General features: G+C 35.4%; 1 protein-coding gene across 1 annotated transcript in view, besides 1 other annotated feature; it reads right to left on the bottom strand.

Annotated features, from left to right (window-relative positions):
- Positions 5558-5758: a silencer, noted in NCBI's record as "peak7146 fragment used in MPRA reporter construct". NCBI's record gives its function as "represses an SCP1 promoter by STARR-seq MPRAs in K562 erythroleukemia cells {active_cell/tissue: K562}" and the evidence as "EXISTENCE:reporter gene assay evidence [ECO:0000049][PMID:32103011]".
- Positions 6307-14792, bottom strand: part of EIF3E (eukaryotic translation initiation factor 3 subunit E) — a 47502-nt gene continuing 39016 nt past the window's right edge. Inside the window, exons 11-13 of the mRNA NM_001568.3 lie at positions 8492-8594; positions 8074-8208; positions 6307-7014 (exon numbers count right to left, since the gene is read on the bottom strand). Coding sequence (NP_001559.1) covers positions 6976-7014; positions 8074-8208; positions 8492-8594 — 277 coding nt within the window. The 3' untranslated portion in view covers positions 6307-6975. The remainder of the gene's footprint in view (positions 7015-8073; positions 8209-8491; positions 8595-14792) is intronic.

A 14792-nucleotide genomic window follows, 5' to 3' on the forward strand; every position in this document is an offset into this window, starting at 1 on the left:
GCAAACCCAGTTTAGGCTCTCAATTGCTCCTGTGTTAGTGGCACGGGAACCAAAAGGGTTTACTACCCAAGTGACCTCTTCAAGGTACATGAGGGTATTTGAGGATATCTGTACCGCTATGCTTTGTTCACAAAGCCACCAGCTAGAAAGCAAAACAGTGGTCATATGCGGTGATCAATCATAGGCTGGCAAACAACACGAGGTCAGTATTGTATTGTGAGTTTATAAGTCCAATAGTTTTGTATGCTGTCCAGCTTTTTGTTTGACAACTGGGAAGTTGAGAGGAAGAAAAACATCTGAGACAGTGTATCTGCCTCTCTCCATTTTTACTTCCACTATTACCAAGACGGGGTCAAGACCAAGAAAAAGATAACTTTTATAAAACTTTTCATACACTGCAATATCCTGATGATTTTTAACAGGTCTTCAACTGACTTTAACCATTTTAAGAAATGTATCTTACAGAAGCACTTCATAAGTCTAAGTGTTTTCACATACAGTAGTACTTATCATTTTATCTTATGTTCATGTGTCTGTCCCAGACGTAAACTGTGAACTCATGTAGAGAAGGGCTATGATGTTTCTGGGTTTTGTGGTTTTTAAAATTTATTTATTGGTACTTAATCCCAAATAGCCAGGCACACAAAGCAGTCAATACTGCCATTTGACGCATTAGGAAATTGGAGAATAAGAAATACATGATTTTGGTCATGATCACCTGATAATAAAAGAAAACTAAAGTTTTCCAAAAGATACATTTTTTAACCTTTTACCTTCAAGTCCAATTTTTTCCATTATGCCATTCTGAACATTCATTGATTCATTCATTCAATAATTTATTGAGGGCCTAATAAGAGCCAGACATTAGGGATTCAGTAGTGAACCAGATAGATATCATACATAAATAAATGAAAATGACAGTCTAGGACAGGCATTGACCAACTACAATTGACCCTTGAACACATCACAGTTTGAAAAAACTCACAGACAACAATGTAGCTGAGAAATATTGACGAAATTAAAATAAAGTTGTCATGAATGTATAAAAATATGTAGCTACCCATCTATTTTATCATTTACTACCATAAAATACACACAAATCTATTATAAAAAGTTAAAAATTTTCAAAACTTACACAAACACTTACAGACATGGTCCCATTCCCAGTCGAGAGAAATGTAAACAAATGTAAAGATGCAGTATTAAACCACTCATGCATAAAATTAACTGTAGTTCATACTGTATCACTGTAATACTTTCATAGCCACCTCTTGTTGCTATTGCAGTGAGTTCTGGTGAATAACCACTTCAAATGCCATGTGATGCTACCATCTCTGTGTGAGCAGTTCATCTCTCCAATAAATTGCATATTGCAGTAAAAAGTGATCTTTCATGGTTCTCATGTATTTTTCGTTTAGTGCCATACCATAACACCATGGAGCCCATAAAAAATGCCACTAGTGGTCCTGGAAGTGGTCCCAAGAAGCAGAGAGAAGTCATGACGTTACAAGAAAAAGCTGAATTGCTTGATATGTGCTGTAAATTGAGGTGTGCATCTGGATTGCCTGCCATTTCAAGATAAATGAATCTAGCGTAGGAACTATTGTAAAAAAAAAAAAAAAAGGAAATGTATAAAGCTATTGCTGCAGCTATGCCAGCAGGTACAGAAATCTTGTACTTTTTGTGAAATACATTTTTATCTCATATTGAAAATGCACTTTTTATGTGAGTGCAGGATTGTTATAAGAAAGGCATAGCTATAGACTCTAATATGGTTCAAGACATAGTGGTCATTATATGACAACTAAAAGCCAAAGGAAGGTGAAGGTCTAAAGCTGGAGAATTTAGTGCCAGCAAAGGATGGCTTGATAATTTTAAAGAGGATGGGCTTAAAAAGTGTCAAGATAGGAGAAGCAGCTTCTGCTGTAAGAGGTAGCAGATGAGTTCCCAGACATTAAGAAAATCACTGAAGAGAACGGATGTCTGCATGAACAAGTTTTTAATTGCAGACAAAACTGCCCTATTCTGGGAAAAAGTACACTTATTTGTAAGAAAGAGAAGAGAGCACCAGGATTTAAGGCAGTAAGAAATAGGCTAACTCTACTGCCTTATGCACAAGAAGTCATGATCAGGACTGCCCTTATCAATAAACCTGCTAACCCCCGAGCTTGAAGGGAAAGGATAAACACCAGTTGCCAGTCTTTTGGTTGTACAAAAAAGACTGGACAACTTTAACCCTTTTTCTGGATTGGTTCCATCAGTGCTTTTTTCCTGAATTCAGCAAGTACCTGGCCAGTAAGAGACTGCCTTTTAGGTTTTTCTGATACTGGACAATCCCCTGGCCAACCAGAAGTCTGTAAGTTCAACACTAAAGGTGTTCAAGTGGTCTACTTGCCCGCAAACACATTACATTTAATTGAGCCTCTCAATTAGGAGTTAATAAGGACCTTTAAGCCTCAATGCCCATGGTACTCTATGGAAAGAATTGTCAATGCTGTGGAAGACAACCCAGATGGAGAGAACATCATGAAAGTCTGGAAGAATTACACCACTTAAAGATACATTGTTGTTACAAAAAAAAAAAAAAAAAAAAAAAGCCGTGAAAGCCCTCATGCCCAAAACAATAAATTCCTGCTGCAGAAAACTGTGTCCAGATGTTGTGCAAAACTTCACAGGATTTACAACAGAACCAATCAAGGAAATCATGAAAGAGGTTATGGACATGGCAAAAAAGGTGGGGGGTGCAGGGTTTCAAGATACAGATCTTGGAGAAATTCAAGAGCTAACAGACACCATACCACAGGAATTAACAAAACACGACTTGATGGAGATGTTTCTGAACCAGTGCCAGATGATAAGACAATGCAGAAGCAACAGTGCCAGAACACAAATTGATGTTAGACATCCGACAGAAGGGTTCCGATTATTCAAGATTGCTTTTGACTTCCTTCATGGCACAGACCCTTCTGATACAGGCACTGAAAACTACACAAATGGAGAAAAAAGGATGAGTATCATATACAAATATTTTTTAAAAAATGAAAAAGCAAAAAAGTTGAATTACAGTGTTTCTTTAAAGTTGCAGGTGTGCCTGCTTCATGCCTCCCCTTCCACCTCCTCCACTTCCTCCTCTGCTACCCATGAGACTGCAAGACCAACCCCCTCCTCAGCCTACTCAATGTGAAGAGAAGGATGAAGACCTTTATAATATGACCCATTTCTACCTAATAAATGTTAAGTATATTTTCTCTTATTTCCTCATAACATTTTCTATAGCTTAATTATAAAAATACAGTATATAACATACTAAATATTTATTAATCAATCATTTATCAGTAAGCTATTAGTAGTTTTGGGGGAGTTGTAAGTTATACATGGACTTTTGACTCTATGTGTCTCCATGTAATGATTTTTTACTTTCGGGTTACTGGTGAATAGGTGTCCCTAACCCATGTTGTTCAAGGGTCAACTGTGGGTATATATGGTATATATGTGTGTATGTGTGTGTGTGATAAAACAATAAAAACAAAGAAATTAACACAAAAGTTATGGTAGTGTTTACTTTTTAGGGGCAAAGAAGAAAATACAATTACTGAGGGGCCAATTACTAGGACCATTCTATTTCTTCAGCTCAGTAGCATGTAGGAAGTATTGGTATTGGGTAAATGCATTTTTTTTCTTCTGTAAACTGGACGTTTACGTATACTTTTGTATAGTTCATATTAAAAAGGCATAAACACATATGCTTATGAGTGCACAGAAAAAATTTTAAAGGACTCAAAGCAACTTTTTTTTAACATAAGTTTCATGAATGCTCTTCTTCGATGTGTTTATAAAAGCTGCTAACACATAGGAGGATGTACTATCTACTGAATGGGAAAAAAAGAAAAAAAAAAGAGCACAAGAAAATTAGTAACTACTTATTTGGTGCTCAATACTTTACTGGAACAGCCTACCTGTTATCAAAACTTAAGGTTAAGCCCCAAATCAAGTAACTTTTATTATGCAAACTTCAAAAATGGGTTTTAATGACAAACAAGTATTGGTAATGTGCAAAAATGGCCATTAGTTGTATATAGTTTTTTTCTTTCTAATTGATACTAGTAATCCATAGTGGCATCATCTTTCAAGTTCAAAAGATGACAATATGTGAAAAGAAAAAAAGTGGTAGAAGTGAGCATTAATTATTCATATAGCAGATAGTCTTGAAGGAGCAGAGCATAAATAGAAAAAAGAAAAATCAAAGAGATGTTCTTCAGAGTTTTCTATGTTCCAACAGGTTTTGTGTGTAAGGGGCCACTTGTATCCAATGATTATACCCGTAGAAAAATAGAGTACCCTTTGCTCTTATTGGAAGATAATGGTGCTGAGAAACCTAGTTTGGTGATCAAGACCTGTTCGCACAACCTACTAAATATGTATCCCTTAACTCTTTGCAATTTCTAATTATAAGGCAACAATGAATGATGTAAGGAAGGTTAGTGTGACATAACTTAAGAGTCTTTTCCTTACTTTAACTTGTATTAGGTATTACCTTAAGCCAGCAGTCCCCAATCGTTTTGGCACCAGGCACCGGTTTCGTGGAAGACAAGTTTTCCACGGATGGGGGGTAGGCCACATTAGATTCTCTTAAGGAGTGCGCAACCTAGATCCCTCTCATGCTTAGTTCACACTAGGGTTCACAGTCCTATAAGAATCGAATGCTGCCACAGACTGGTACCAGTCCACAGCCCAGGGGCTGCGGACTCCTGCCTTAGGCAACCATGTGAGTATGCTTCCTCATCAATAACATATAAATAATACCACCTAAATTTTAGTATTTCCAGGCTTAAGCAAGGCATTCAAATGTTAAGATTCCCTTCTTTCTCCTTAGGTTAGTTTATTTAGAGAAACAGAGGACATAAAAATGCCTGACACATGGTAAATACTTACTACTGGCTTCCTATGACACATGGTAAATACTTATTATTGGCTTCCTATTTTTCCTATCTGGGGCTTTTACTAGTCCACTAGGGCATATTTAATAATTGTTTTTAGCTGCTGAGCTATGTAATCATCCAGAAATCTTCGTTAGCTATTAATGTGGCTTGGTTGAGCTACAGTCTTAAACGGTGATTAATGATGTCTCCATGTAGGAACTTTTGGCCCTTTGGTTACTGGTGAAGGAAACATGAAGTCTTGTTTCCTTCCTTCTCAGCCGAGAACATCTTTCTCAATTCTACATAGCCTGAGTAATATATGCCATTTTATATGGTTCTATATAACTATGGCTCTATTTGATAAAGATAAGAACTTTTAATTCATGGAATTAGCTGCTACATATATAAAGAGTCTGTCTTGTTACTGTCCTACCTTGTTACTGTTTCAACACTTTGGTACTTTCTCCATGACCCTTGACCATTTTGTACTACCAAGAATCCTCTTTTATTTCTTTATGTATTTTTTCCTGCCCTATACCTGGCATTTTCACAATACTGGTTACAGATAAATAAAAAAATAGTACTTGGCTTATCCTAACCAATAATCTTCCTAGTTTCAGCACCCTTAGACTAAAGCTTAGAAGTACCAATACCCCAAGCCAAGGGTTGGAAACCACAGCAGGTGAAACAAATCTGGCCTTGGCCTGTTTTTGTAAATAGTTTTACTGGAACACAGCCATAAGCATCCATTTACATACAAAGGCTGCTTTTGTGCTACATGACAGAGTTGAATACCTAAAACAGAGAACATACTGCCTGCAAAGCCTAAGATTTAATATCTGACCTTTTACAAAAAAAAGTTTGTAGACCCCCATGCTGTTTAGTATTGGGAGGTCTCCATGCTCTTTGAATGGCAGATGCAACCTAACTACCGTAGTCTCTAAACTGAGTATGGAAGGTGGCCTGATCAGATGTCAAATAAAAGAACAGTATGTACCTTTTTATCTTTGAACCTCCTCCTTGAGAGCAGCAACAAGTTTCTGTTATCTGACTGGCTGTCAGTTCAACCAAAGTGAAAAATCAAGCCACTTCTATGTAAAAAAGGGACCCAGTGAGGGCTCTGTAGCTCTTAAATACCTCCAGTATCCAGTAAACAGTATGTCTGTATTTAACATTTGACACTTATAAAATTCAACTTATATGCCTAGTCTCCGTAACTATACAGTGAGTGACTGAGGAGCCACTTTTAAGAAATTAAGGAACAACAGTTTTATTTGTAATAGTACCAAACTGGAAACAACTAAAATATCCTTCAATAGGTACATGGTTAAACCACATGGCACATCAATACCAGTTAAACCACGTGGCACATCAATACCATGGAATACTATTTGGCAATAAAAAAGGAATTAACTACTGATCATATATATATATATATCTATCTCTCAACTTGGATGGCTCTCAAGAGCATTGTGATGAATGAAAAAAGCTAATCTCAAAGGTTGTGTATTATGTAATTCCATTTATATAACATTCTCATAATGACAAAATATAGCGATGAGGAACAGATTAGTGGTTCCTAGGGTTAGAGTTGGTTGGGAGTAGGTATGGCTACAAAAAGGTAGCATGAGGGAGATCATGATGATAGTTCTCTATCTTGGCTGCAGTGATGGTTACACAAATCTACACGTGATAAAATGGTAGGGAGCTATTTGTACACACATTGTACCAATGTCAACATCCTGGTTTTGATACTGTACCATAGTAAGACAAAGTGAAAAAATTGAGGGAAACAGGGTTCAGCCTACAGGGACTTCTCTGTACTATTTTTGCAAATTCCTCTGAATATAATTATTCCAAAAAAGAAAGTTAAAAAAACACAAACTTGCACATGCAAGAAAACTGACAGCAAGATAAAATGAATCAATTTTATTCCAATTCTTCAAAATTTATACGTAATATGTTGTTTCCAAAATGTAAGTCACCCTTTATATAATAGTTTTATTATTTCATCTTTCTTTGATAGTTTTTTTTTTCATCTTTTCTTTATGGTTCTTCAGTAGAAGCCAGAATCTTGAGTTGCCCAGTTAGGAGCCTAAAATATGCAAAAAGAAATCAACACCGTGAAAAGAAAATACTTTCGGAAAAAAACTAACATAGAAGAAAGTAACACAGCATTTACTTCAGCACTATAGTCTCTTGCCAAACCATTCTAAGATCTTAACTCCTGCAATTACTAGATGTCAGATGTCCCACTCAGGACAAAACAAACACCAAAATTATTATCTGGTATAGCTTTTGGCCAATTAAAATATATAGCAATAACAGTATCATTAATACTGGAACAATAAATGATACAAATTAATCCTAAAGCATACAGAAAAAAACATCATATGAAAGTTACTTTCTAGGCTCAGTTATTCTAAACTTGGCTAAAATATGCAACTTGAATTCTAATGCATCCTTCTCATTTGAACTAAAGGATTATTCTGCGGACACAAATTTGTTCCTAAAATTTCAATCAAATGGGGTCTCTGCATATCCCACAACTGCTTCCTAATGACTTCCTACCCTCCAGTTACACATAATCATAATGTCTAAACAACACAGTTTAGGATTCCAAAATTATAAGGCCATTCAAGTTTCTTCAATCTCTAACATGCAGGATCTCTATCAAAATGGGAGATTAATTTTTGATATGAATATCAGATGAAAGATAATGAAATTTGTATAAGATCAGCACTAATACATATAATAAGATCAACATTTTTACAGAATTATTTCTTTAGATTTAGAAAGAATACACATTTCGAACACTTGAAAGAGGGCTACACATGTAAGTTATCATCTGCCAGTATCAAAATGATGTGTTGAAAACCCTGAGGAAATGAGTTAATGAAGTCACACAGGAAGAGTCAAAGCAAAAGAAAAATAGTTATAATAAACTAGGAACACAATTTCTTTTTCAGTTTCTATGTTTAATGCATATAATACATCTAAGAAAAAATTTTCTGTTTAGTAATTTCTTAAAAATGTTCATATCTTTAAAGAGAAAAACAAAATCAGCTACAACTCATCAATACACTTTGAAACTTCATGTAACAATTACATGGTTGCTAAACCCCAGACAGAATAGAAGATGTGTGGTTCTTACCTCTGACCTGCTATTCTGATTAAGTTTCTTCTCAATATTCATGGCCAACATCTGGCTTCTAAAGGAAAGGCTTTTGGTCTTTTCAATCACTTGCTGATAGGGTGAGACTGCATTGTTACCCATAACCACATGACCCTAAAAGGAAACACAGGGAAATTGATCCTATAATGTTAATGACTGAGTTTCTCAGGTAAGTAAAAAGCATGACATACCTTTGCGCATATTTTAATGCACTGTATAGAGATGACAATATTTACCAAGGAAGAAAAAAAATAGGAGGCTTCTGTTGCCTTCAAAGAACTGTTTTACATTAAAACAAAATAAATTATTAAAGGAGGTAATAAAATGTCCTAGTTAAGAATTCCCAAAAGTATAATCAGGAACTGATAGTATGTAGCATAGCTAACATAATACTCACTAATTTAGAATCAATCTTGGCATCCAGTCTTGCATTTCTAATCAAATTTACAATCCACCTTTCAGCTTCTTCTGGAGTCATGTTCAATTTATCTGCCAACATGCTAATGAAAAAGTAAAAACAGCAATGTTAATTAACTGGGCCTAAAAACTTAGTTTTATGTACACAGTGTTGACTCACACTCTGCATAGATACTTTTTGGTATTTCTGGATCACCCTTCTCTTATATACCATGACCCCTACTGTCTGATTTGTTCATGTGCTTGTGCCTATTGACTTGTACTATGCACGACCTATTCCATTCACCAACTGGACTGTAAAATCCTTGAGGGTAGGGTAACATATTCTGCATTTACGGAAATCCTTCAGCTTCTAGAACAGTACTTTACATTTGCCAGGTGCTCAAGAAGTAATGATCTAAGGGAGAAAAAGGTTTTATGATGTTCCCTCTATATAAGTCAGCCCTCCATATCCACAGGTTCCACATCCTCAGATTCAACAAACCATAGATAGAAAATATTTGGGAAAAAGCAAACAAACAATAAAAAAGAATACAAAAATAATACAAATGAAAAACCAATACAGTATAACACCTATTTACATAGCATTTACATTTTTAAAAGTAACCCAGAGATGATTAAAAGTATATGAGATAACATGCATAGGTTATATGAAAATATCACCCCATTTTATTTAAGACACTTGGGAATCTATGAATTTTGGCATCCAGGAGGGTCCTAGAACCAGTCCCCCAAGGATATCAAGGGACAACTATATAATGGTTATACAAAGTAAACCTTTGTATAAAGGTTTCTTTGGATAAAGAAGACATATGAAAAAGACACTTGTACAGATATATTTACAGCAGCACAATTCACAATTCACTTAGGAACCAACCTACGTGCCCATCAACTAATGAGTGGATAAAGTAAATCTGGTATATATAAACCATGGAATACTACTCAGCCATGAAAAGGAAGAAAATAATGTCTTCTGCAGCAATTTGGATGAAACTGGAGGCCATTATTCTAGGTGAAGTAATGCAGGAGTGGAAAACCAAAAACCTTATGTTCTCCTTTATAAGTGGGAGCTAAGCTATGAGCTAAAATCCCAGAATTCACCACTATATTATTCATCCATGTAACGAAACACCACGTGTACTCCAAAAGCTACTGAAATAAAATTTTTAAAAAAGTAAGCCTACTATAAAGAGCATCAGTAATAAGTATAATCTCAGGAAAACATAAATAAAACTGACGGGCATTGTGTATATTTGTGCTATAAACTGTGGGGGCACTCCCTGGAGCTATATACTATATATAGTATGTATGTATATATATATATATAGAGAGAGAGAGAGAGAGAGAGAGAGAGAGAGAGACAGAGAGAGAGAGAGAGAGAGACTGAATTTCAGATAAAAGAGACAGAGGGAGCAGACCAGACCATGAAGATCTTGATCTAAAATACTCTTTGATATCAACCAATCTGCATTTTGTATTTTTCCAATTTTATGATCAGGTTGAAGAGGGCCATTGCAGAGCTTAATTTATCAGAATTAAAAACACACCAGTCTTAGTAAATAGGTTAAGTCAGTTCCGCTGATGGAAGAGTACCTACATATGCATGTAAAATATTTAAGAGTATGTAGTATACATGCATGTATGTATGTGTGTTTATATACTGTCTTTTATCTTCATGGAAGCTATCAGGTCTCAGCTAAAATAAGACCCTCATAAGCCTTCTAAGACACCTCTCCCATCTGTGATACATCAGTTAGGTGCTTTCATAGCACCTATTTTTGCTATAGTTGTTTTACTGAATATCTGCTTCCAAGGTAGACCGTATACATGTAACCAAAGTGCACGCACCGTATCTTCCTCATTCACTGCCGTTATGTCCAGCAATTAGCAGCATGACTCCTCATACACAGGAGACGATAAATATTTACTGTCTGATTGATTCTTATTCTAGTCACTACCCTAGTCCAGGCTCCATTACTATTTCTTAGTTTTCTAACTACTTTACCTCTTGAGTCTCTACAATCTATCTTACACATCTGCCAGGTTAGTTCTACAACCCAACTACAGTAGTTCCCACTTATCCGTAGTTCCACTTTCTGTGGTTTCTGTTATCAGCAGTCAATCCCAGTCTGAAAATATTAAATAGAAAACTCCAGAAATAAACAATTGATAAGCTTTAAATTGTAAACTGTTCTGGCTAGCATGATGACATCTTGTATTGTCCTACTGTCTCACCTAGGACTTGAATCATCCCTTTGTCCAGCATATCGACACTGTATACGCTACCCGCCCATCAGTTACATAGTAGCTATTCCAGCTATCAAGTGTCTTGATATCACAGAGCTTATGTTCAAGGAACCATTTTTTACTTAGTAATGGCCCCAAAGTACAAGAGTAGTGATGCTGGCATATTGTTATAATTGTTCTATTTATTATTGTTGTTGTTAATCTTCTACTGTGCTCAACTTATAAATTAAACTTTATCATAGTTATGTGTGCACAGGGAAAAACCTAGTCTGTATTGGGTTTGGTACTACCTGCAGTTTCAAGCATCCTCTGGGGGTTTTGGAACATATCCCCTTGGGTAAGGGGAGACTACTATACCCAGTTTATTTCCAAATTCCTTTCAACACTTTTAACTTTCCAAGTTCCCATCATTCTCCTTCATAAATATAACATGCCAGCCAAACCAAACCAATCCTTTTACTTTGTTGACATTTACTCAACAAAATACCAACCGTGTTAGATGCTACTGGCAAAACATCCTCTGTTGCCAGCCTTTACAGAGTTTAAGTCAAGGGGGTCTTGACTTAAACATCGCTTGATCTTGGGAGGCAGAGGTTACAGTGAGCTGAGATGGCATCACTGCATTCCAGCATGGGCAACAAAGTGAGACCCCCATGTCAAAAAAAAAGAAAAAGAAAGAAAAAAGAAAAAGTGGAAGGACCTATGTATGTGAAATGCAAAAAGGTCTACCAGTTCTAATCTGGAGATTTGGGAACAGCTTACCTAAGGAAATGATATTTAATCTTAGATTTTTAAGACCATAGAGTGAAAATTCCATTCTAGGCTGGATGTGGTGGCTCATACCTATAATTCCAACACTTTGGGAGGCTGAGGCCAGAAGTCTGAGACCAGTCTGAGCAACACAGCAAGATTCTGTGCACATGTGCACACACACACACACACACACACACTGGCATGGTCGCACAGACACACACACACATACACACGCACGCACGTACAGTGGCCTGCACCTATAGTCCCAGATACTCGAGAGGCTAAGGTGTGAGTATCATTTGAGCCCAGCAGTTTCAGACTGCAGTAAGCTATGATTGCGCCACTGTACTCCAGCTTGGGTGACAGAACAAGATCCTGTGTCTTTATAAAAAAAAATTCCATCTTATGTAATAACTCTAACTAGAATTCTCTATCCCTCTCTCTTTCTTTACATCCATATTCTAAGACTCATTCCAACATAGCTGGTGTAATTTTGCAACAAGCATCAAGATCCATAAATGCCTGCACGCTCTGAGCCATATCTTACTTTGTGGATCTTTGTTTGCACTGTGCTTGTTGATCTTTTATTTGTTGATCTTTACTTTTCGAAGTGAATCAGGTCAAAGAAAAACCTGAAATAAGGCCCAAGGAATACTAGTAAATAATTGATGGCATCTCAGTTTATCTAAGCTGCTGATTATCACTCTGACTGAATTAAAGAATGTAGAAATAATCTGGTTTCAGTAACATGAAAATACACTCAGTAAAAGAAACCAAATGATTAATAGGCCTGTAATCTCAGCACTTTGGGAGGCCGAGGCAGGAGGACTGCTTGAGCCCAGGAATTTCAGACCAGCCTGGGCAACACAGCAAGACCCTGTCTCTACAAAACGCAAAGGAAAAAAAAGGACTAATAGAAATCATCAAAGTCTACAGATATTAAAATAAAAGTGTAATATCCTATCAAAGCTTAAAAGGCTGTCCCTGGTGGTCTAGTGGCTAGGGAGAAATAAAACCAATTTTAAAAAGACAAAAAGTTGGCGTAACCTATCCCAGAACATGCTTGCCTCATGTTACTGAAAATAATTCAATTTATTAATAAACTAAAAGACAAAATCCATCAAAATGCAGAATTTCTGAGAAAAATATCTAGTCCAATCCAGATTTTAAACACCCAAATTTCTAGATTATTTAGATTACACTAAAAATCTCAACCTTGTCTGTAGGCAGCTTAAGGTAGATACTTAAATATGTTCTGTAAATCCTTTATAAATATCTTTAACCTAACTAGCTCTGCTGCTCAACTGACACACACACAAAACACAACATCGAATATGTTAAATAAGATATGCACAGAATTCTTAAGTGCTATTTCAAAAGACAAAGCAAAAACAAATCTTTCATCCTCAGTTCAATTTAATTAAACATGTTCATGCTTCTAGCACAAAATGAAATACTTTGTTTCCAGGAAGTAAAAAATAACAGAGATCCCACTTAAGGACACAAGATAAATTTAAGTCTTGATTTAGGGAAATATTTTTTTGTTTCCAGGAAGTAAAAAATACCAGAGATCCCACTTAAGGACAGAAGATATATAAGTCTTAATTTAGGGAACTGATAAGGGTTGTATCAACTCTAGATTTTCTATCAGGTTTTGAGTGCCTAATCTTTCAAATGGTCTTACTTTTCTAAACCCTCCCATAGCCACCATCTTCCCCCAACCTCTCATCTTAACAAACACTTGGAAAAATAAGGCCTGGGGATCTGATATTTCACCTGTCTTATTAATTACCTCTTTGAATAACCTGGCTTTCCAAATTTTATCTGATAGGCACAATTTATTTCAAAATACTGCTGATTTAACCATTTGGATATAGAAACCTCTGGTCTAGTTTTCACTGAAGACTACTGGCCAACTATTCAGCATATCCAAAGAAAAGTACTCCAAGTCTTTTCTAATTAGTTTAAGACAACTAATTAAAGAATCAGTGTTAAGTGTAAACTATGTTTAACTGTATGATTGGGAGGAAACAGGACAAAGAAAAGAGGAGAAAATTGAGAAATGCTAAATCCTTATGTGAAAACTGAAAATTATCTCTTTATAATCTTATAAATAACTGAACCTTATTGATAATGCAGAAATGCAATGATAATGGCCTTTGAAACTGTTTGTCTCCATACATTTACATTCTAAATGTAAATTGTTATGTGGTAATAAGAACTTTAAGAAAAATATTAAGAACTAAAATATAACTTAATAAAATAAGCAAAGTAGAATAACTTCAAAACTTAAGTAACCCCCATTGGGAAATTATACTAATGTATGCTCCAACATGTTTATCATACACATCCAAAATATTACTTCCATAATTTGTTTTCATCTACAATTGAAAACTCGTCCAAGAATTATTTTAGAACAGCTTTTAAATTTCAGACACATACCATAGCTGATAAAATGATTCAGCTATACTAAATTAAACCCCAACACAGTAATCTTTTTTGACAGATGTTGCAAACTTTATGGTAAACAGATTTGTAACTTATCCTACATATCAATAAGGTTGTATAAAAACATATAAAACATTCTTAATATGCATTTTTATAAAGCTGACTATCACATGTGCTTACAGGCATTTAGTCAGGAAATCTATTAACAGAGAATGTTCCAAATTACAAATAGAGTTATTTAATAAACAATTATGGGTTTTATAATACTATTTTCAGCATTTGAAATGTGTCCTTTGGTGGGAGAAAAAGAAGCTGAGATATATCCTTTCCCTTCCCCCTCAAAAGACAGAACATCAGATAGCTTTAAACTAATTAAAGGCAAAAATAAGCCAGCATAAACTAGTGAATGGAATAATATGCCATAGTTAGTATTCAGTGGAAAAAAGTCTATTTTGGGGCTTAAAGATATTTCATTTGGAGAGTTATCAGGATTCACTGACCCTACCTAATTTTCTTCTCATTGTTCCCCAATGCAGAGTGACTAGAGAGAATGATATGGACCTATTTTTAATAATGTGTAACTTCAAATATGAAATTTTGAAATTTCCCAAAATTACAAATATTTTCAATAATTTGTAACTTTATATTTATTTGTCCACTTATTTAATATCCGCTTCTTCCTCTGGATTTTAAGTTCTTTGAAAGTGTACTCACTACTTTCTACCCCGTGTTTGGCCAAAAGAGGCACTCATTAACATCTGTAATGTTTTCTTTGGAGAGCTGTACTACTAGTTAGGTTGCTAGTAATTAATTATACCATAATCATGATACAT

Source organism: Homo sapiens, chromosome 8 (genome assembly GCF_000001405.40).
Source record: "Homo sapiens chromosome 8, GRCh38.p14 Primary Assembly".
NCBI lineage: Eukaryota > Metazoa > Chordata > Mammalia > Primates > Hominidae > Homo > Homo sapiens.